Source organism: Homo sapiens, chromosome 6 (genome assembly GCF_000001405.40).
Source record: "Homo sapiens chromosome 6, GRCh38.p14 Primary Assembly".
NCBI lineage: Eukaryota > Metazoa > Chordata > Mammalia > Primates > Hominidae > Homo > Homo sapiens.
Window position 1 is genome coordinate 98,910,405 of NC_000006.12, and position 23,426 is coordinate 98,933,830.

General features: G+C 37.9%; 1 protein-coding gene across 11 annotated transcripts in view; it reads right to left on the reverse strand.

The window, feature by feature from the left end:
- Positions 1 to 23,426, reverse strand: part of FBXL4 (F-box and leucine rich repeat protein 4) — a 79,412-nt gene that overhangs the window by 41,870 nt on the left and 14,116 nt on the right. For 5 of the 11 annotated variants that reach the window (XM_017010727.3, NM_012160.5, XM_005266930.4 and 2 more), the window contains 3 exons: positions 17,301 to 17,418; positions 16,073 to 16,656; positions 6,970 to 7,315 (listed from right to left, as the gene is read on the reverse strand). In XM_017010727.3, the coding sequence (XP_016866216.1) occupies positions 6,970 to 7,315; positions 16,073 to 16,584 (858 nt within the window). In that variant the 5' untranslated portion in view covers positions 16,585 to 16,656; positions 17,301 to 17,418. Of the gene's footprint in view, positions 1 to 6,969; positions 7,316 to 9,441; positions 9,518 to 16,072; positions 16,657 to 17,300; positions 17,419 to 23,426 lie in introns of those variants that run through there. The other 6 variants (XM_047418626.1, XM_017010726.2, XM_047418627.1 and 3 more) reach the window with 3 other exon arrangements.

Consider the following 23,426-nt stretch of genomic DNA (forward strand, 5'->3'; position numbering starts at 1 on the left):
GCACTCTGGGAGGCCAAGGTGAGTGGATCACGAGGTCAGGAGATCGAGACAATACTGGCTAACACAGTGAAACCCTGTCTCTACTAAAAATACAAAAAAAAAGTTAGCCAGGCATGGTGGCAGGCACCTGTAGTCCCAGCTACTCGGGAGGCTGAGGCAGGAGAATGGCATGAACCCAGGAGGCGGAGCTTGCAGTGAGCCGAGATGGCACCACTGCACTCCAGCCTGGGCAACAGAGCGAGACTCCATCTCGAAAAAAAAAAGAAAAAAAAAAAGTATTGTGGGGGGAGGAGCCAAGATGGCCGAATAGGAACAGCTCGAGTCTATAGGTCCCAGCGTGAGCAACGCATTAGACGGGTGATTTCTGCATTTCCATCTGAGGTACCGGGTTCATCTCACCAGGGAGTGCCAGATAGTGGGCGCAGGACAGTGGGTGCAGCGCACCGTGCGCCAGCCGAAGCAGGGCGAGGCATTGCCTCACTTGGGAAGCACAAGGGATCAGGGAGTTCCCTTTCCTGGTCAAGGAAAGGGGTGACAGATGGCACCTAGAAAATCGGGCCACTCCCACCCAAATACTGCGCTTTTCCGAAGGCCTTAGGAAACGGCGCACCAGGAGATTATATCCCGCACCTGGCTCGGAGGGTCCTACGCCCACGGAGTCTCGCTGATTGCTAGGACAGCAGTCTGAGATCAAACTGCAAGGTGGCAGCCTGGATGGGGGAGGGGCGCCTGCCATTGCCCAGGCTCACTTAGGTAAACAAAGCAGCCGGGAAGCTCAAACTGGGTGGAGCCCACCACAACTCAAGGAGGCCTACCTGCCTCTGTAGGCTCCACCTCTGGGGGCAGGGCACAGACAAACAAAAAGACAGCAGTAACCTCTGCAGACTTAAATGTCCCTGTCTGACACCTTTGAGGAGAGCAGTGGTTCTCCCAGCACGCAGCTGGAGATCTGAGAACGGGCAGACTGCCTCCTCAAGTGGGTCCCTGACCCCTGACCCCCAAGCAGCCTAACTGGGAGGCACCCTCCAGTAGGGGCAGACTGACACCTCACACGGCCGGGTACTCCTCTGAGACAAAACTTCCAGAGAAATGATCAGACAGCAGCATTCGCGGATCACGAAAATCTGCGGTTCTGCAGACACTGCTGCTGACACCCAGGCAAACAGGGTCCGGAGTGGACCTCTAGCAAACTCCAACAGACCTGCAGCTGAGGGTCCTGTCTGTTAGAAGGAAAACTAACAAACAGAAAGGCCATCCACCAAAAACCCATCTGTACATCACCATCATCAAAGACCAAAAGTAGATAAAACCACAAAGATGGGGGAAAAACAGAGCAGAAAAACTGGAAACTCTAAAAAGCAGAGCGCCTCTCCTCCAAAGGAACGCAGTTCCTCACCGGCAATGGAACAAAGCTGGACGGAGAATGACTTTGACGACTTGAGAGAAGAAGGTTTCAGACGATCAAACTACTCCGAGCTACAGGAGGAAATTCAAACCAAAGGCAAAGAAGTTAAAAACTTTGAAAAAAATTTAGACAAATGTATAACTAGAATAACCAATACAGAGAAGTACTTAAAGGAGCTGATGGAGCTGAAAGCCAAGGCTCAAGAACTACGTGAAGAATGCACAAGCCTCAGGAGCCCATGCAATCAACTGGAAGAAAGGTTATCAGTGATGGAAGATGAAATGAATGAAATGAAGCGAGAAGGGATGTTTAGAGAAAAAAGAATAAAAAGAAACGGACAAAGCCTCCAAGAAATATGGGACTATGTGAAAAGACCAAATCTATGTCTGATTGGCGTACCTGAAAGTGACAGGGAGAATGGAACCAAGTTGGAAAACACTCTGCAGGATATTATCCAGGAGAACTTCCCCAATCTAGCAAGGCAGGCCAACATTCAGATTCAGGAGATACAGAGAACGCCACAAATATATTCCTCAAGAAGAGCAACTCCAAGACACATAATTGTCAGATTCACCAAAGTTGAAATGAAGGAAAAAATGTTAAGGGCAGCCAGAGAGAAAGGTCGGGTTACCCACCAAGGGAAGCCCATCAGACTAACTGCTGACCTCTCGGCAGAAACTCTACAAGCCAGAAGAGAGTGGGGGCCAATATTCAACATTCTTAAAGAAAATAATTTTCAACCCAAAATTTTATATCCAGCCAAACTAAGCTTCATAAGTGAAGGAGAAATAAAATACTTCACGGACAAGCAAATGCTGAGAGATTTTGTCACCACCAGGCCTGCCCTAAAAGAGCTCCTGAAGGAAGCACTAAACATGGAAAGGCACAACCGGTACCAGCTGCTGCAAAATCACGCCAAAATGTAAAGACCATCGAGAATAGGAAGAAACTGCATCAACTAACGAGCAACATAACCAGCTAACATCATAATGACAGGATCAAATTCACACCTAACAATATTAACTTTAAATATAAATGGACTAAATGCTCCAATTAAAAGACACAGACTGGCAAATTGGATAAAGAGTCAAGACCCATCAGTGTGCTGTATTCAGGAAACCCATCTCACGTGCAGAGACACACATAGGCTCAAAATAAAAGGATGGAGGAAGATCTACCAAGCAAATGGAAAACAAAAAAAGGCAGGGGTTGCAATCCTAGTCTCTGATAAAACAGACTTTAAACCAACAAAGATCAAAAGAGACAAAGAAGGCCATTACACAATGGTAAAGGGATCAATTCAACAAGAAGAGCTAACTGTCCTAAATATATATGCATCCAATACAGGAGCACCCAGATTCATAAAGCAAGTCCTCAGTGACCTAAAAGAGACTTAGACTCCCACACAATAATAATGGGAGACTTTAACACCCCACTGTCAACATTAGACAGATCAACGAGACAGAAAGTTAACAAGGATACCCAGAAATTGAACTCAGCTCGGCATCAAGCGGACCTAATAGACATCTACAGAACTCTCCACCCCAAATCAAAAGAATATACATTTTTTTCAGCACCACACCACACCTATTCCAAAATTGACCACATAGTTGGAAGTAAACCACTCCACAGCAAATGTAAAAGAACAGAACTGTCTCTCAGACCACAGTGCAATCAAACTAGAACTCAGGATTAAGAAACTCACTCAAAACCGCTCAACTACATGGAAACTGAACAACCTGCTCCTGAATGACTACTGGGTACATAACGAAATGAAGGCAGAAATAAAGATGTTCTTTGAAACCAATAAGAACAAAGACACAACATACCAGAATCTCTGGGATGCATTCAAAGCAGTGTGTAGAGGGAAATTTATAGCACTACATGCCCACAAGAGAAAGCAGGAAAGATCTAAAATTGACACCCTAACATCACAATTAAAAGAACTAGAAAAGCAAGAGCAAACACATTCAAAAGATAGCAGAAGGCAAGACATAACTAAAATCAGAGCAGAACTGAAGGAAATAGAGACATAAAAAAACCCTTCAAAAAATTAATGAATCCAGAAGCTGGTTTTTTGAAAGGATCAACAAAATTGATAAACCGCTACAAGACTAATAAAGAAAAAAAGAGAGAAGAATCAAACGGACTCAATAAAAAATGATAAAGGGGATATCACCACCGATCCCACAGAAATACAAACTACCATCAGAGAATACTACACACATCTCTATGCAAATAAACTAGAAAATATAGAAGAAATGGATAAATTCCTCGACTCATACACTCTCCCAAGGCTAAACCAGGAAGAAGTTGAATCTCTGAATAGACCAATAACAGGATCTGAAATTGTGGCAATAATCAACAGCTTACCAACCAAAAAGAGTCCAGGACCACATGGATTCACAGCCGAATTTTATCAGAGGTACAAGGAGGAACTGGTACCATTCCTTCTGAAACTACTCCAATCAATAGAAAAAGAGGGAATCCTCCCTAACTCATTTTATGAGGCCAGCATCATCCTGATACCAAAGCTGGGCAGAGACACAACCAAAAAAGAGAGTTTTAGACCAATATCCTTGATGAACATTGATGCAAAAAAATCCTCAATAAAATACTGGCAAACCGAATCCAGCAGCACATCAAAAAGCTTATCCACCATGATCAAGTGGGCTTCACCTCTGGGATGCAAGGCTGGTTCAATATACGCAAATCAATAAATGTAATCCAGCATATAAACAGAACCAAAGACAAAAACCACATGATTATCTCAATAGATGCAGAAAAGGCCTTTGACAAAATTCAACAACGCTTCATGCTAAAAACTCTCAATAAATTAGGTATTGATGGGACATATCTCAAAATCATAAGAGCTATCTATGACAAACCCACAGCCTATATCATACTGAATGCGCAAAAACTGGAAGCATTCCCTTTGAAAACTGGCACAAGACAGGAATGCCCTCTCTCACCACTCCTATTCAACATAGTGTTGGAAGTTCTGGCCAGGGCAATTAGGCAGGAGAAGGAAATAAAGGGTATTCAATTAGGAAAAGAGGAAGTCAAATTGTCCCTGTTTGCACACAACATGATTGTATATCTAGAAAACCCCATTGTCTCAGCCCAAAATCTCCTTAAGCTGATAAGCAACTTCAGCAAAGTCTCAGGATACAAAATCAGTGTACAAAAATCACAAGCATTCTTATACACCAATAACAGACAAACAGAGAGCCAAATCATGATTGAACTCCCATTCACAATTGCTTCAAAGAGAATAAAATACCTAGGAATCCAACTTACAAGGGACGTGAAGGACCTATTCAAGGAGAACTACAAACCACTGCTCAAGGAAATAAAAGAGGATACAAACAAATGGAAGAACATTCCATGCTCATGGGTAGGAAGAATCAATATCGTGAAAATGGCCATACTGCCCAAGGTAATTTATAGATTCAATGCCATCCCCATCAAGCTACCAATGAATTTCTTCACAGAATTGGAAAAAACTACTTTAAAGTTCATATGGAAACAAAAAAGAGCCCACATCACCAAGTCAATCCTAAGCCAAAAGAACAAAGCTGGAGGCATCATGCTACCTGACTTCAAACTATACTACAAGGCTACAGTAACCAAAACAGCATGGTACTGGTACCAAAACAGAGATATAGATCAATGGAACAGAACAGAGCCCTCAGAAATAACGCCACATATCTACAACTATCTGATCTTTGACAAACCTGAGAAAAACAAGCAATGGGGAAAGGATTCCCTATTTAATAAATGGTGCTGGGAAAACTGGCTAGCCATATGTAGAAAGCTGAAACTGGATCCCTTCCTTACACCTTATTCAAAAATTAATTCAAGATGGATTAAAGACATAAACGTTAGACCTAAAACCATAAAAACCTTAGAAGGAAACCTAGGCATTACCATTCAGGACATAGACATGGGAAAGGACTTCATGTCTAAAACACCAAAAGCAATGGCAACAAAAGCCAAAATTGACAAATGGGATCTAATTAAACTAAAGAGCTTCTGCACAGCAAAAGAAACTACCATCAGAGTGAACAGGCAACCTACAAAATGGGAGAAAATTTTCGCAACCTACTCATCTGACTAAGGGCTAATATCCAGAATCTACAATGAACTCAAACAAATTGACAAGAAAAAAACAACCCCATCAAAAAGTGGGTGAAGGATATGAACAGACACTTCTCAAAAGAAGACATTTATGCAGCCAAAAGACACATGAAAAAATGCTCATCATCACTGGCCATCAGAGAAACGCAAATCAAAACCACAATGAGATACCATCTCACACCAGTTAGAATGGCAATCATTAAAAAGTCAGGAAACAACAGGTGCTGGAGAGGATGTGGAGAAATAGGAACACTTTTACACTGTTGGTGGGACTGTAAACTAGTTCAACCATTGTGGAAGTCAGTGTGGCGATTCCTCAGGGATCTACAAGTAGAAATACCATTTGACCCAGCCATCCCATTACTGGGTATATACCCAAAGGACAATAAATCATGCTGCTAGAAAGACACATGCACACGTATGTTTATTGAGGCACTATTCACAATAGCAAAGACTTGGAACCAACCCAAATGTCCAACAATGATAGACTGGATTAAGAAAATGTGGCACATATACACCATGGAATACTATGCAGCCATAAAAAATGATGAGTTCATGTCCTTTGTAGGGACATGGATGAAATTGGAAATCATCATTCTCAGTAAACTATCACAAGGACAAAAAAACCAAACACCGCATGTTCTCACTCATAGGTGGGAATTGAACAATGAGAACACATGGACACAGGAAGGGGAACATCACGCTCTGGGGACTGTTGTGGGGTGGGGCGAGTGGGGAGGGATAGCATTAGGAGATATACCTAATGCTAAATGACGAGTTGATGGGTGCAGCACACCAGCATGGCACATGTATACATATGTAACTAACCTGCACATTGTGCACATGTACCCTAAAACTTAAAGTATAATTAAAAAAAAACTAAAAAAAAAAAAAAGTATTAATAATTCCAAGGTAATAGCACTACCTGCCTAGACCAAAAATTACAGTTAGGAGAATATAGAATAGAGTTAGTATAGAAAAAAAATGACACTTAGAGAAACTACAGATTAAACAGAATAAGCATTCATCTCACAATCTTATTAATATTCTTATTTTTAATAGCAAATCATCTTTAACATAACTAATAAAAAGTTAAGCATGTATTGCCCACAGTTAAAGTGTAATATGAATTAAAGTGGATTGTTACTTATTACTGGTTTTTGTATTTGGTTATTATTAATTAGCAATATGAAAATATATACTTAATAGTTTACCCAGAAACACTAATGCCAAACCAAAACAAAAGCAGTGAAATTAGTTAAAACATGATTTTGTCTAGTTTTTCCAAAATCAAAATATACAACACATCAAATTATATATAACTTACCAATGCTCAATTACCGATGCTCAGTAAACATTAATATCTAAAGATTAAAAATCTATAGTGTTATATCCAATACTGCTGCTAAATATTTTTGGCTTACCTCATAAGGTAGTTTATCAAAATACCCATTATTTGGCCCTTCCCCGAGGACAGCACTGCTAAACTTTTTGTTAAGACTGTCCATTCCACAACCATCCTTTTCTGCATAGGCATCATCTTCTATATCATTCATGTCAATAAGTGAAGTCTTGAGAGAAAGCACTGGCTTGTCCTTCACACCATGTAGCACAACTGCATCTAATTCAGTGTAATATTCCAGAAGAGAACTATTTACTTCCAGTCGTATAAGATTTGTGGGGAAATTTATCTGCTTAATACAAGGTTTAAACTGGCGAGCTTGGGAAGCATTCACCTTCGTAGGTCTCTCTGACCAAAGAATCTCCCATCTGCCAAAAAAAGAAACTTCCCTATAATACAGTTTAGAATGAGATCTACTGGTCCCTTAAGGTTATAGACCCATGCCCAATATGTCACAGTGTGAAACAAAGTCATCAAAATAAATAGAATCCAATATAAGTATTGTTCCCAAGATATAAAAAACTTTAAAAAACCAAATGCCACAGACCTTATTAATTTATTTTTATAAGTCCCCAAACAGTCCTTTTTTACAGATTTCACATTGATCAGTTTAAAAACTGGAACATGTAGTTAGAGGTATCTGAACAACATTACAGTTTACAAGATAAGTAAACCCAAAGAATAAAACACACAAAGATGAAGCTCCCTGTGTGCATGGCTTAAACCAACTGCGGAAACTAAACTGATCATTTTGCTTCACAAAGGTCTCCTGCTTCAGCTTTTCCATTTCTGTCACTAGCCTCATATAAATGCAAAACTTTCATATTATCTTTTTCTCTTTATTTTATCAAATCATTGTTTCATCAAATTTTTCAAGAAACTGTTTCTTGTATATGCCCTTCTCCTGAATTTCCATTTTTGCTATATTTAAGTTATCCTTATATCCTTAGTATCTAGCAAATATCTAAAGACATAAAAGGGGAATAACATTCTCCTATTCCTCCAAATGAACTCCTGCTTCCCAGCCAGATTAATCATTATTTTCCATGCAATAAACTTATTTCCACCTTTATGTCTTTGCTCGTGTTATCTTCCTCCCCATGAAATGCCCAACCTACTATTATCTGCATATCTATTCTTCAAGGCCTAACTTATATTCCATCTCCAGATAAGTCTTCTTATAAAACTATTTTCCAAAATTATTTAAAGATTCTTCATAATAATAGCATCATCAGGTACTTAATATACTCATATGTCAGTTAACTATTTCTCTAATATTATTTCTAATAAAGAGAAAATTAGAAACATTTAAAAATACTTCAATTATCACCTTTTCTCTATTCCTAATTATTTACTTTTGCTAGTAAAATTTTTTAATAAAGATTTTACATCAAAGAATAAGAATATTTTTAAGTCTCTCAATACACACTACAAATTGCTTTCAAAAAAGCTTATGCCAATAGTACATAAGAATGATCACTGAAAGCATTAAAAATAATCTCTAGTTTCATAGTGAGCCATATCTCCTTATGATGTAATTTGTAATTCACTGATTACTAATGGCACTTAATTTTTTTATATATTCATTAATCATATGAGATTTTTTTCCACCAATAAATTGTTCGTTTATTTCCCTGGCCCAATGACCTACTGAGATCTAAGTAAAAACTGATAATGGCAACGCATAGAAGAAACTGAAAGAAAAAAAAAATGTGAAACTCAAGGGAGAAATCAGAGCCAAAATTATAGAAGCCATCAACATATAGGTACTCCTACTGTTTTTAGGCCCAGAAGGGACCAAGAAAAGCATACAGCCACAATCTTGGAAGAATGGAGAGGGAAGTATGGCAATTTCTACCTTCAGGAATAAAAGCAAACTCCAAAGGAATTCTAATAAACATATCACGAAGGGAATCAGGAACCACAGAATAGGGAACTTTAGCAGTAGGGACTTTTATTACAGTTTCTAGAACCTTTAAAATCCCATACTTGTTATTTTTGCTGATTCTCTCCTGAAATGTAGGAATAAAATCCATCAAACATAAACAGCCTGTGAGTATTTGTATTCAGAGGCAACATTAAAGTAGCAATGGATAAATTAGTTACACCCTATAACCAATCTTGCAAGGCAGGGAAAGAGTTCCAAAGAATAGAGCAGGCTGTGGCAGGTTTAATGAGGAAAGAGAAGCAGGCTGGGTATCTTCTTCTGGTGACAAGACAGAAAAGCAAACCTGGAATGCCATCCTGAACCTAAGAATGTCCCTAGAGATTAACTGCTAAAATCAAGGGTTCCTAACGAAGGAATTGATTTGAATACTCTAATGTAAATACATGCAGCAAAACAGAGCTAGCCATATAGGTGCTAGGGAACAGAAGCATGAAACATCTAAAACAATGCTGGTGAGAAAATGTATGCCTAATTTTGGATACCTTATTTCCAAGAATCACAGAGTAAATTATAGAATACATGAAGAAATTCAAATTTTAGTCTTACTTTTTTGTCGCCACTGCAAATTGACACCAGACGATGCTGGAGGAACATCTCCAAGAAACAAGGACCCCTCAAGACCCTGTGAAATAACCACCTATACTGGTTTACAGCACATGTGAACTAAACCAGCCTACTTTGTTGTTTAGTTTCAATGGGGAGTTTTGGGAGGCTTAAGAAGAACACTGAAAATATAATAAAGAAATAACCTCTGCCAAGTTCTTAGCAATAAATAAATATGCACACAATACAGGTCTTCATGTATAATTTGAAATGCATTATAATGTAAATCAAATTAAAAATTATAAATATAAACATAAAGACATTGATTAGAACATAAATATTCAATTTTAATAATGCATTAATCTACAAAAAGTCCTCTCTAGCTACCTTGCAGAACATGCAAAACAGACAGGGTTAAGATGATGCTTTACACTGACTTCCTTAACATTTCTAGCATGTTTAAACATATTAGGATTAATGTTATTTTAGCATCATTCTTGCTTCTGACTTCTATATCGCATAAAGATTATTTAGTTACATATATATCAGAATCTGCAAAAATTATACTTAAAGTGGAATATCAGGATTGTATCTGTTTTTAGAAAGATTTAAAAATATGTCTAAATATTAAAAATTTCCAAGTAAATCATTAGTTTCTATATTTTACTTTTATTTTTCTTGATAACCTAAAAAGTAACAAGAAAAAAAAAGACAGAAAAATTATTTGAATTAACTATGAGACCAATACAAATAGATTTTCTGCTACCTGCATTAAGGTTTTTGTTTAAAATTCCCCAATAGAGCTAAAATGTATCATTTCTAAGTTAAAATGAGAAAGGTATCTATCTTACCCAACAAGAGAATATGAGAATTTCTTTTTATTCTGGAAAACTAAAGCCAGAATAATAAAAACTAGTCAGTGAAAACAAGAAAACAAACATAAACATACGCACATGTACATATGGGTACACACACATACACACACACACACACACACACACACACACACACACATTCTGGAGAAAGCTCAACTCTTTTAATTCTCTAGCCCCAGGGCAGTGTTGATATGATTAAACTCCTTTAAGTCATGGCTTTTGTAATAGTACATTTACATGTTTAATATTATTCTCATACACTGTATTTATTTACTGGACAAATCTGACAAACTCTAATGTACTCTTTAAGTATTTTAAATCTCAAGTATCACATGTGCAAAATTCAGCCTGGAATGTCTTTGAGACTGGGCTTACAGTCTGCATCTGGAGCATTCAATTCTGGGATAGTAACTAACACAGCCCATTTAATGTTCTTTCTGTTGATTGTACTGGATGACTACTATGTGTCCAGTGCTCAGAAACAAACCACTCTATGACTGCTGACCTGTTATACCACTAAGAAACTTTCTCCAGGGCAACCAGGAAGCAGTGGGTAGATGAGAGGAAGAGAGATGTTTCATTAATGGAAACCAAAGAAAGCAAGTTTTCTAACCTGTATTCAGGCTTGAAGCCAGGCAGATGAGTACAAAAAGCTTCCTTGCAACCAAAATTTATCCTAGCCAGTAAGTATATCTAGTAGCCAGCAAAGAAAGTTATCTTGCCAACCCTGTTCCATTTCACTAGCTGAAAGTGAAGGAATAATAGGAAAACAGAAATAAAAGTAACAAGTATTCTGACAGGTCTATCTATTCACTCCCTGCCTCCCAGCCCATCTCTAATTGGAAACTAATAAACTAGCATGTGCTTAAAAAAAGAATTAACCAGTGAAGAGCTTGGTCAATTCTGAGTTAAATGACAAACTCATGTTTCTTGGCCCACATGACCAAGGTCCAGGTCATGACAAATTTGTGAAATCGTTACTTAAGCAACTGGATTTGGTAGCAAATTCTATGAAAGCCTCTTTTTTTCTCCCTGCTTTCTTAATTTCAATATTATATAGTTGGAGTGCTTTGAACACTGAAAAAAAATTCCACATCATTAAATTTCATTCCCAAATAACTTTATTCCAATTGGTTTCTTTAATCTGACCTCTATTTGTCATCTTCTTCTTCCCCGTTTCCTTGTCTCTCTCTTCCAAATGGTAACCCTGAGCTAGCCTATTTTCTGAGTCTTACATAAGCATCCATTAAGATATTATTCACAGGACTAGGGCACTCTATAAAACCTGCAACCTCCGCCTTCTGGTTTCAAGTGATTCTCCCGCCTCAGCCTCCCGAATAGCTGGAATTACAGGTGCCCGCCACCACGCCTGGCTAATTTTTGTGTTTTTAGTAGAGACGGGGTTTCACCATGTTGGCCAGGCTGGTCTCAAACGCTTGACCTTGTTATCCGCCCCCCTCGGCCTCCCAAAGTGCTGGGATTACAGGCGTGAGCCACCATGCCAGGCCTTTTTCTTTTGCTCTTAATAAGGTACTAGGCAAGAAATGAGGAGACTTTAAGATCTGGTAGAACTACCTGTAACTTCTCCACTTCATTTACTGAACAAAGAAATGCAATCACATGAAATAGGAAAAGACTGGTTTTAAATTTTAAATGTTCTGGGACTAAAAGAAGTCAATTTCCTGCAAATTCCTGAGCTACTCCAACACATTCTTGTTTGTTAACTCCTAAGGGAGGGATATAAAATTAAAATAATAGACACTGTAGCCCACTGGGTTCCCAAACAGTAGTACATGACGGAGTTTTCCATCACTAAATGTGAGAATGCACATTTAGTATGCACCTATCACACATATATGTTCTTATAACATTGAAAGAAATCTTTATTCAAGATTCTGATCATGCTGATTTCTTGGTATAAACTGAGTTGCTTGAGTAATCATTTCACAAATTTGTCATGATCTTGTCCTTTCGACTTTGTGGGCCAAAAAACATGATTTTGTCATTTAACTCAGAATTGACCAAGCTCTTCACTGGTTAATTTTTTTTGAACAGATGCATAAACTTTTATGAAATAATGGTGATGACAGGTAACATTGGCATTTTGTTTGTCTTTTTACTGTATGTTAATTTAGCAAAGTAAATAATCTGACAAGTCTATGAGTTCCCTAATTTTTATGATGATTATTATGTTACTAGTTTATTGTGACTGACTCCTCCCACCTGAACTCCATTCACATGCACATCCCCCATCTCATCAGTTCTATGTGCCACCCTGCAGATGGGCTTGCTTTGCTCCTAAGGGTTTACACTTACAACCTTCTTCACAGAACTACCTTGGGCTTCATCTAGGGAGTGACATGTGCCTAGAAGATTGACAGTCCCCCTTTCCCACCCTTCCAGCCCATGGTAAAAGTCTGGCTGGTGCAGGAGTATAAGGGCCCAGCTCTCTAGCAACTTTGCCTCCCAGCAGACTGGGACTTCACATGATATTGCATCCTTGCTTGATTTTTCCCATCATGCTTTCCCTACTCCTTTACTAGCTTCTCCTAGAGTATCTTCATAAAAAAATTTCCACAAAAATTTCCATAAAAATTGCACAGGAATAGTCACCTCAAGATATTCTTCTGGGAAGCTGGATCCAAAAAAATCTATAAAATCCCAAAGTCTAGAAACCCCTAGTTTAGATCTTAAGAATGTTACTCCCATGTCTCCAGTTGCCAACAGCTTATTCTCTGCATTCTTGGACTTTTCTCACTTCTTCAAACACCATGATCTTAGCTCATGATCTCACGTTCAAATGTGCTGTTGTCTCTCCTCCTTTCCTATCCACACTGGAGCCTCACTCAACCCTCAGGTCCCAGGTAAGTCACTTCCCCAGGGAAGCCTTCTCTGAGCCCACAGATTAGGTTCTCCCCTCTGCCAATACATGTTCCTCATGGTCCTCTTCTAGGCTGGCCTGTAAGCTCAAAAAAGAGCCATCTCTGTCTGACTCTCTACTTGGTTCCTAGCAGTGAACTGGCAGAGAGGGTGTTCAATAAATGTTTCTGATTGTATAAAAAATTCACCCAAATGTTAACAGTTACTGAATCTGGGCAGAAGAATTACAGATTTTTTTCATATATATTTTCCTTTTTTTTTGGTATTTTCTAGATTATTTTTAAACAATGAAACATCTATTGATTTCATAATCAGTAAAATTTAAAAAGGCTTTTTCTTATATCTTAATAATATATTGGTCACCTTTTTTTCTCTTAAAATGTAATGGTATTTTCAGTAGACTAAAGCTGAAAATCAGTAAAGAAAATTAGAGATACAGGTATAAATAAAGTTTTAACTTTAATCACAACCATATACCAGTAACTCTCAGTAACCCAAGAGCATGATTTGTACTTAAAATTAGTTATGCAGCTGTTAAGTTTTAGACTGGAGAAAACACATTACATGTTCCATTGATCTCCTCCCTAAATCTTTTCAGATTTTTGGAAAAAAGTAGGTAACTTTGTAAGAAGAATGTCAGAGTCCTAATAAAACAATTCTCATATAAGAAAAGATCCTGCCATGCACAGTGGCTCCCATCTGTAATTCCAGCACTTTGGGAGGCCGAGGCAGGCGGATCACCTGAGGTCAAGAGTTCGAGACCAGCCTGCCCAACCTGGTGAAACCCCATCTCTATTAAAAATACAAAAATTAGCCAGGCATGGTGGCACGCACCTGTAATCCCAGCCGCTCAGGTGGCTGAGGCAGGAGAATCTCATTAACCCGAGAGGCAGAGGTTGCAGTGAGCCAAGATCGTGCCACTACACTCCAGCCTGGGCGACAGAGTGAGACCCTGTCTCAAAACAAAACAAAAGATCCTACTCCATTTTTTCCTCTTAGGGAGAAAACAAAAATCTGATTTTAATTAAGGTATGCTGGCTTTCTGAGTTTAAAAAACGACTAATAACATTATTTGCAATGAATTATTAGGTAGTTCTGGAAAAAAAAGTAAAGATTATACCAGCAATCTCCAAGTTGAGCTGTACTCTGTATGTTTTCTGGCAGGCCCTGGAAGTATTCCCTTAGAGATGAGGGGACAGAGATATCAGAGGAGCTGCATGTTACGGAGGTAGCAGCTGACCTCTGCCCGCCTCCTCCTGCACTGGCAGCTGGCCATCCCTACAGTTGAACAGGTGCCCTGATCTGCTCTCAGGCTAGAATGAGAGCGGGAATTTTTATTTATTTTGTTCACTGCTCGCTGACACATCTCTAATACCTAGAACAACACCTAGCACATTAGGTAGGCACTAAAATATTTAATGAACGAGTGATTTAATAAAGTGATATGAAGTCCTAGAAACTGCTAAGATCCATGAGTAATAGAAAAAATGAGCAAATAATATGATCAGATAGTTAAAGGAAAAAGAAATATAAATGGCTTTTAAACATATGAAAAGATTTCAACCTCAGAGATAATAAAAGAATTTTAACAGTTAACATGAGATAACATTTTTCACCTATTAAATTGCAAAAATATTGAAATTTATAAACATACTCTGTAGGCGAGGCTTTGGCAAAACACCCATGTACATGCCCTGCTAGTGGGAATATAAATAGTACAGACTCTTTGGAGAGAAATTTGGCATTACATATGAAAATTACAACTGTTAAAAATTAAAATTAAATGTAACTAAGAATAAATTGTTAAAATGCAAAAAAAAAATGTTAAACATTACAAAATTATCAAATTATCCTTGGTTGAGTAGCCTTCTTCTAGGAAATTTATCCCACAGATATACTTGCACACATGCAAAGTGACTTATGATAAGGTCATTCCCTGCATTAATGTTTATAAGAGCAAAAGACTAGAAACAACTAAGTGCCCATCAATGGGGGACTAGTTAATAAGTTGGGGTTCATACACACTATGCATTACTTGCAAATGCAGGAAAGAATGAGGAAGCTCTCTTTGTACTTACAAGAAAAGATCCAACATATACTACTGTGTGAAACAAGGTACAGAACAGTGTGATAAATATGCTTACTTTTGTGTATAAAAATATAAAATTATATTTGTATTTGCTTGTGTCTGCACAAAGAAATTCTGGAAAGATACAAAATGAGCTGATAAAAGTGGTTTCTTCGAGGGAGGAATGGGTCCTAGGCACATGGAGAACAGGGTACATGTGAGACTGCATTATATTAATATTTTGTAAAATTAGGAGGTTGAATGACAAAAACGACAGCCAAGGAGCTGTTATGCAAAACAGGCTTGTAGGGAGAATGCATGAATTACTTAAAGCAACATTGATTTTTAAATGAATATGGGTGTTGCAAAAACATTCAACTAACGTTAAACCAAATCCCCTAAGGACCTCCTCTGAAGTGTCACTCACAGGCCTATTGTGAGTTGTTGAAAAGATTTAAAAGTAGTAACATGATGCCTGTTTGAAAATATTTTCAAAGTCATATTTCGTACTAACGTCCCAGAATGGCCCATGTCCCTATGAGTTCAAATTGTGCTTTTTGGTTTTGGTAAATTTTATGAGATACAAATATCATAAGCCATGAATATTACAGTATGAGGTATTACAGGTATAAAGCCTGAATTAAATCTTTATATGAGTGATCTCTCTTCCCCATCAGAAAACTAAGGAAAATTTTCAAAATCAAATTCAATTAAGTTACTTAAAAGAATGCTTGCAATAAAAAAGATCTCCAATATTAACAACCAAAACCTTTCTACCATATAACTTAGGTCATTAAAAAATTAGTCTTACCTTACTTCAGCTGGTGGATTTGGGGAATAAGGATTTGCAGAACAAGCGAGAATTCTAATGACTGCTCCGGGATGATAGGTTTCTAGAACATGTACAGCTGTAGGATACACCTGTTGTTCAAAAGTAAGTTCCACATAGTCCTGGCTCTGAAAATTAGGTGGCGTCCTCTTGAATGGCAAGGAAGCACTAGGACACTGATCCCACCATGTCCCATAAGTTCGAAACACAGCTGTCTGAGTAAAGTCACCAGAACTTGGGAATACATTTGGTACACCAGCCAAATTCCACATAGTATAGGACATACTATTCTCACTTCCATAATGGGAACTGAAATCCACTACTTCTTTGGCATACTGGACTACCTCTGCATTGAGAGGGGAAGTCTGGCTGTTTGATTCTATAGCTCTATGGGTGTTCATCATTTCTCCTCTTGTAGCTGTCCTGGCTCGGCGCCGAAGGCATATATAATAAAACATGGTCAGAACTGTTAACATGGGAAAGACCGGTGACATCTAGATGTGAATTATGAAGCTTCAAAAGGTCAGGTGTCCTCAGTAAGATGCATGAACTCTTTGAAGGATGTTCTAAAAAAATGAATGGCTTGGTGAAGTAAAATAATTTAAATAAGCAGAAAAATGCATGGATAAGGTAATGAACAGGCTCTACCCTCAATGTAATTTCTCAGAATGAAACTAAAAAAACAAGTTTTAAAATACAAATGTGAAGTCTGGTATAAATAAATTTTCTAATGTATTTTTAAGAAACCTAAATATTGTTATGCATACAATATGGGAAGCAAAACTATATTATAAGGCAATTGGAAGATATACAATCCAAAAAGCCGTATTTTATACAAAATTATAACCATCACTCAAGAAATACTAAGTCTTTGAATCTGAAAATTAAAATTATTTAAATTATATGGTGAACCACTAAAATACTGCTGTAAATTCAAAATAATCTTAGACATTGCTGTAATTTTACATGTTAACAAAAATTCCCTACTGTTAATTATTACTCTCTTTCAAACATACAGAATTCAGATTTCACATTATGGGAATATAGTTCTTTGGTGCTGACAGTTAATCCAGATGAACTACATTAACTGCCTTACACATCACAGATCACAGATCAGTGTTTAATTTATAACTCCTAGCATTATTTGTTAGGGCAGTCCATGGCTGGCTGGCATCTGGTTTGTTGCCAGCTACTCTTAGAAATCACTCACCCCAGATAGAATGGTCACAGGATACACATGGGAAATGCAAAAGTTGGCATTCATCCAGGTACCCTGAACTTTGCATGCTGACTTCAGGTACAAATGCTGACATGTGACATTCTTTTACCTGTAAGAAAAGAGTTTTGGAAAATATTTTTATGTCCAAGTCACAAAGTCAAAATATCCAAAATTATAAATAGCCACTTATTCAACCCTTCAAATCAAACAGGCCACATTTTTCTATTTTGTACACAATTTTAAATAATGTATTTTTTAAATGTTATGATAGAATATAATAAAGATTTAATAATGAACGCTATCTATAAAGAGGTTGCAAACTCACAGCTTTTGTTTCAAACTATGTTTGTATACATATTTCACTGAGGCCAAACAGTGTTTTTTAAAAATTTGATCTAGTTTGTAACCTTTAACAATCAACAAGATCCCAAGAGGCATGAGCTCTCTCAGTGGCCACTCTCGTTCCCAGCCAGCTCCACTCATTTACAACATAGGCTGGGGCCCATCCTCATTGAGTAGGTAAACTTTTGTTGACAACAAGGAACTATAAAACAAACTTATTTTTGTACCTGTAAAGTCTTGAGTTTAACTTCTAAGAAGGGAGATGTACCAACTTTTCTTTTTTTTTTTTCGAGACAGGGTGTCTCTCTTGCCGCCCAGGCTGGAGTGCCCTGGCGCAATCTCGGCTCACTGTAACCTCTGCCTCCTGGTTTCAAGCGATTCTCATGCCTCATCCTCCTGAGTAGCTGGGACTACAGGCATACACCATCATGCCCAGCTAATTTTTTGTAGTTTTAGTAGAAACAGGGTTTCACCATGTTAGCAAGGCTGATCTCGAACTCCTGACCTCAGGTGATCTGCCTGCCTCGGCCTCCCAAAGTGCTGGGATTACAGGTGTAAGCCACCACGCCCTGCCCCAACTTTTCTTTAATAGAGCAATGCACTAGTCTTCCAAAACTTCAGCACTAAGATTATAAAACATTATTTGCACTAAATGTCCCTTCCACTGAAAAACCTCCAATGCCTTTTTCTTATCTGCAAGATATAATCTAAATTATTTGGTTTGGTATTTTAAGGCTCTCTTCAAGCTGGACCAATCTCTTCTTGTCTAACCCAGCAAACCCAATCAAGTTCTAACCACTCTTCGTATTTTACGTTAAGTCTCGCTTCCTCTATCATTTCTTTTCCAACCACTTTTTTCCACATCAGTAGCCTTACTTTCTGATACCTACTGGCACTGCATTTTTATGAGATATATACCTTAGTTCCACTAGGGTTTATATTAGGAATAAGTCTCTTGAAGGAGGGAATCTAGCCAAAGATCTTTATTTCTCAAAGTACACAGTACATAATAGGCACAAAATATTTGACATGTTGATAGGTGATGAGCAAATTAAAAATTATAAAAATCTAAAATAATTTTAAATTGTATAACAGCATCCTTTTGCCTCTCAAACCCAAACAGATCCAAACACAATGAAATATTTAAAAATATAAGCACTGAAACACTACTTAAATAACTGAACTTGAAAGAAGTGCAGAGAATCCACAGTAGTAAGAAACTAAGAAGAAAGTTAGCTGGGCATGGTGGCTCACGCCTGTAATCCCAGCACTTTGGGAGGCTGAGGCAGGTGGATCACCTGAGGTCAGGAGTTTGAAACCAGCTTGACCAACACAGAGAAACCCCGTCTCTACTAAAAATATAAAATTAGCCAGGCATGGTGGCACATGACTGTAATCCCAGCTACTCGGGAGAGTGAGGCAGGAGAATCGCTTGAATCCAAGAGGTGGAGATTGCAGTGAGCCAAGATCATGCCATTGCACTCCAGCCTGGGCAACAAGAGAAAAACTCCGTCTCAAAAAAAAAAAAAAAAGAAAGAAAGAAAGTCAATGAGCAGAAAAAAGAAAGTCAATGAACAGAGGTCAGGGGCTGAAGCTAACATGACTCATGGAACCAGTTACAGGCCATAATGGTTACAAGGGGACTCCCTAACACCCATTCAGAGACGTTATTTAAAGACACAGGTCACAGTTGGAAGGACCTTCATAAAGTCAAAACTCTGAAAGGATCACCCTATCCATGAAACCAGGACTATAAAAACTTAGCTTACTGGCCAGGAAACCCAAGTAGGCATGACATCAACTAAGGCAATGGGGGGAAAGTCACCAGAGGAAATCAGAACCATATGAGGCATGAACCATGCATAGAGTGTGGGCCTAAATTCACACAACCTTCATGGTTTAGAATCCCACCCTATCCTCATGCCAAAAACTGAAAAAAGAAAAGTAGTCCTGAACTGGTAAAACTTTAGGACCTGGTAAGAGCAAATGTGAAAACTCTTTGCAGGAATGCTTCCAAAACATACAACAGACTAAACCTTTACTAATGATGCATCACAGTAAAAAGTTACAGACCAGAATAGAAAATGAACCATGATGAGAGATAGTCAGTGGACTCACCAAATGGAGGGATTTGCAGCACAAGAACAAGAAATAACAGAATAACCAGAATAAGACTTTTTCCAAAGAAGGGCAACAAAGCATATATTAAAATAAATAGGCTGGGCATGATGGCTCACACCTGTAATCCCAGCACTTTGGGAGGCCCAGGTGGGAGAATCACTTGAGCCCGCCGGGGCGGAAGTTGCAGTGAGCCGAGATTGCACCACTGCACTCCAGCCTGGGTGACAGAGCCAGACCCTGTCTCAAACAAACAAATAAATAAATAAGGTGTTTCTGTAACACACACTTAATGGATGTGCTCATGAGTCAATGAACCAGATTCACCTCAGGACATATAATAGCAAGTACTGAAGTATGTCATGTTATAATTGGGGGAAAAATAACTACCTGTTATATTACTTCTTTATTCAAACATTTCACCTACCACAAGTATAAATTTGTCAAATTAAAAAATATATATATTTAAGGCTGAGGCTGGAGGATAACTTGAGCTCAGAAGTTCAAGGCTGAAGTGAGTCATGATCGTGTCACTGTACTCCAGCCTGGACCACAGAGCAAGACCCCGTCTCAAAAACAGACAGACAACTTTTTGCCATTCAAGTCTCAATCCTTAACAAAAAAAATTGAAATGGTACAAATCTTTCTTTTACCATATACACTTTATTTCAAAATAGGGCTGCAGATAAATTAAGAACCATTTTCCAAAGAAGTTGACTATTCTCTTTTCAAAAAGAAAAAGAATTAACAAGTTAAACTGCAAAAATAAAATTTAGGAAATAAAGAACAACCTATAACATGTATTCAAATCAATTGACAAATCAGCTAATTTAGAAGACTATGGATGTGTTATTCCTGGAAACCATCAAGGGAAGGACAGAAAACCATCTGCCACAGTGGATGAATAAGTTGACTGCTTAATCTCTGGACATCACTTCTCACTCCACGGTCTATAAATTGCTTCAACTAAGCTCCTCCCCCTTTCTTTATAAAACTGTGTTGTGCATTTTTGGCAAAAAGATTTTAGACAAATTGTGAAAGTCAAATTCTGTTTGACATACCAAGCTACAAACTTTGAAACTGTTTCCCAGCTTTTACCATTGTAGATTATAAGATAATATCAAAAGCAAGACTGTCATATGGGCAATATTATGTTTAAGCTGTGTTAAAGTTAAGCAAAATTTTGCATTGAGGCAACATATGTAAAAGTGAGTTATAAACTGTAAATATATGTGTTATATGTTCAAACTTCTTCAATATAGAAATGTAAAATGGATGCTTTAGTTTTTTTCAACTATGGATAAAAATAATATTTAATGCTAATTTTTTCAGGAAATAAAGTTAAAAATGGCAAAAGAAATTTTTAAAGGAAGGAAATGCAGAGTCTGATATACCAAAAAAGCAAATATATTTATTCTTTTTCCAGCAGTGCTATTTGGAAAATGTTATAGAAGTTAAAACCTGTTTTTGAAAATAAGCAAGGCATAGAAATAAAAAAGAGAAATGTACAAACCCATTGCTAACGTCCTTCATTGATTCTAAACTCCTTTCCAATCTGCTAAGATGACACATAAAAGTGTTTTAGGGGTGGGGAAGAACATATGGAGAAGAAAGGATAGCTCTCTCTACTTTTCCCTGGGAAATGAAGCTGAAAAAGGGAATGGAGCCATTGTCTCAGGACTCATGTGGAGAGCTACGACCAATGCAGAAGTCCAAATTGTCCAGGCGCTGTCTGGACTTTTGCCAAGGCATGGAGGCAATTTGTGGTAACCAATGAATATCCCTATGGGCAATGAACCAAGTGTAAAAGATACAATAACTCTATTTTATAAGGAGAATGGGATTCAAAGATAAAATTATTTTTCCCACCTGGTGCAAATAAATAAATATTAGTCAGGAACACTTAATTTGTCCAAAAGAGTGATTATAAAATGGATCTTCTGGGAGACATTTTCTTTTTTTGTTCATTCAAAAAGCTACTTTAAGGACTCACAACATATAAAAATATTATTTTCCATTTAGAATAAGTCAGAATTAGGGGGATCTTCATTTCATTTGTTGCTTAATCCAATCACTGATAAGCAATGACTATGAAGTGAGAAATTCTCTACACTGAACATTTATACTAGCACAATCAAGGAATACCAAAACAACAGCCATTTTAACTTGTATCATGAGACTTTCATACTCCTTAGGAAACAACTTGCTTTTATACAACATGATTTTATTATAATACAACTTAGGTTTAAACCACATCTTCCATATTATAAAATGCTTAACGAAGTTAAATAATACAATTACAGAGAAAGCAGTAATAGTGGAAAAGAGAAATTAAGAGGTATAGACAAGGGAGAACATATGTTTCCTACTGAGATTTGAAGTGAGATGGGGAATCGATGAGGCGGAGAGAAGCAGGATGGCAGGAGCTGCCGAGAAGTCGGCTTGTACTTCGAAGGGAAAAAGAGGAAGGAAAAGGACTGTTAATAAAATAACAAAGGCAGCAATCAGAATGAACCAGAGCCAGGACAGCGTAAAGGCTAGGTTCACAGTGAGATGAAAGAACCTGAAAACAAGTTTAAAACTCAAAAGAGGATTATTCTCAAGTTATACTACAGTGAAAAAACATGGAAAAACACAAAAAGGACAGGCAATAAGGCACAGGCATACATACAAGGCAAATTGTAACACAATATTTACTTGCAAAAGAGCCCACAGAGACATGTCAATGAAGTCATAGAAAAAAAAAAAAAAAGCAAGTTTAGACAGCTTTGCTACATAGTACCAAAATGTAATTAGAATGCTCAATGTGGTAATGAATCAAGAAAAAAGGCCAACCCTTAAATGCTCATTATTTCTGAATCCTGCTGAAACTGATCAAGACATACTATTCTGAGGAAGGACTTTTCTGGTTGAATCTAGAAATCAAAACAGGGGAATGAAAGAAAGCATCAATGGAGAAAAGAGGGGAATGATAATGTGAATTTGATGTAGCATCTGAAATTCCTATCAGCTCTCTTTCCTGGCTGGCCCCCTCTAGCTTTTACACCAACTTGTGCTCTTATGCCCCCTCTTGCCTCTGGTAACTTCTCAGTCTCCTCCCAGGTTTTCTTCTTCCTAATTCTTCTCATATACACAGAGGTACCATTAAAGGAAGGCTGTCTTTTTGATAACATGATATACAAGAACATTCTATCTAACTTTGAGCCCGCCTTCCCCTTCCCTTTCATGTCCACACCCACTACCCTTGCTGTAGACCCACCAGAACCTCCACCATGCCCTCAGCAGCACTCCTGCTTTCATGCCTCAGCATCCTGAAATCTTCAACTGAGGCTGGATGGCTCTGGAATGCCCCCTCTCTTCCAATGCTTGGCACTCTCTTACTCATCCTTCAAGGTCAGGTTCATACTTTATCTACCATGCACCTTTCCTCTGCTCTTATATGTTCGTATTATTTGCTATTTCTTACATGCTGAAATATTTCTCTACCTGAATAGACTATGAACTCCCCAAGTTCGGAGAACATGCCTTAATTATAACCATACCCTTAGAGTCTAGCACATGCCAATATATGCTCAATAAACATCTGTTGTTTTACGGAGACTGGAAGAGTAGATGGCATAAGAGAATTAAAATGAATAAGTTTAAAATAAACACAGA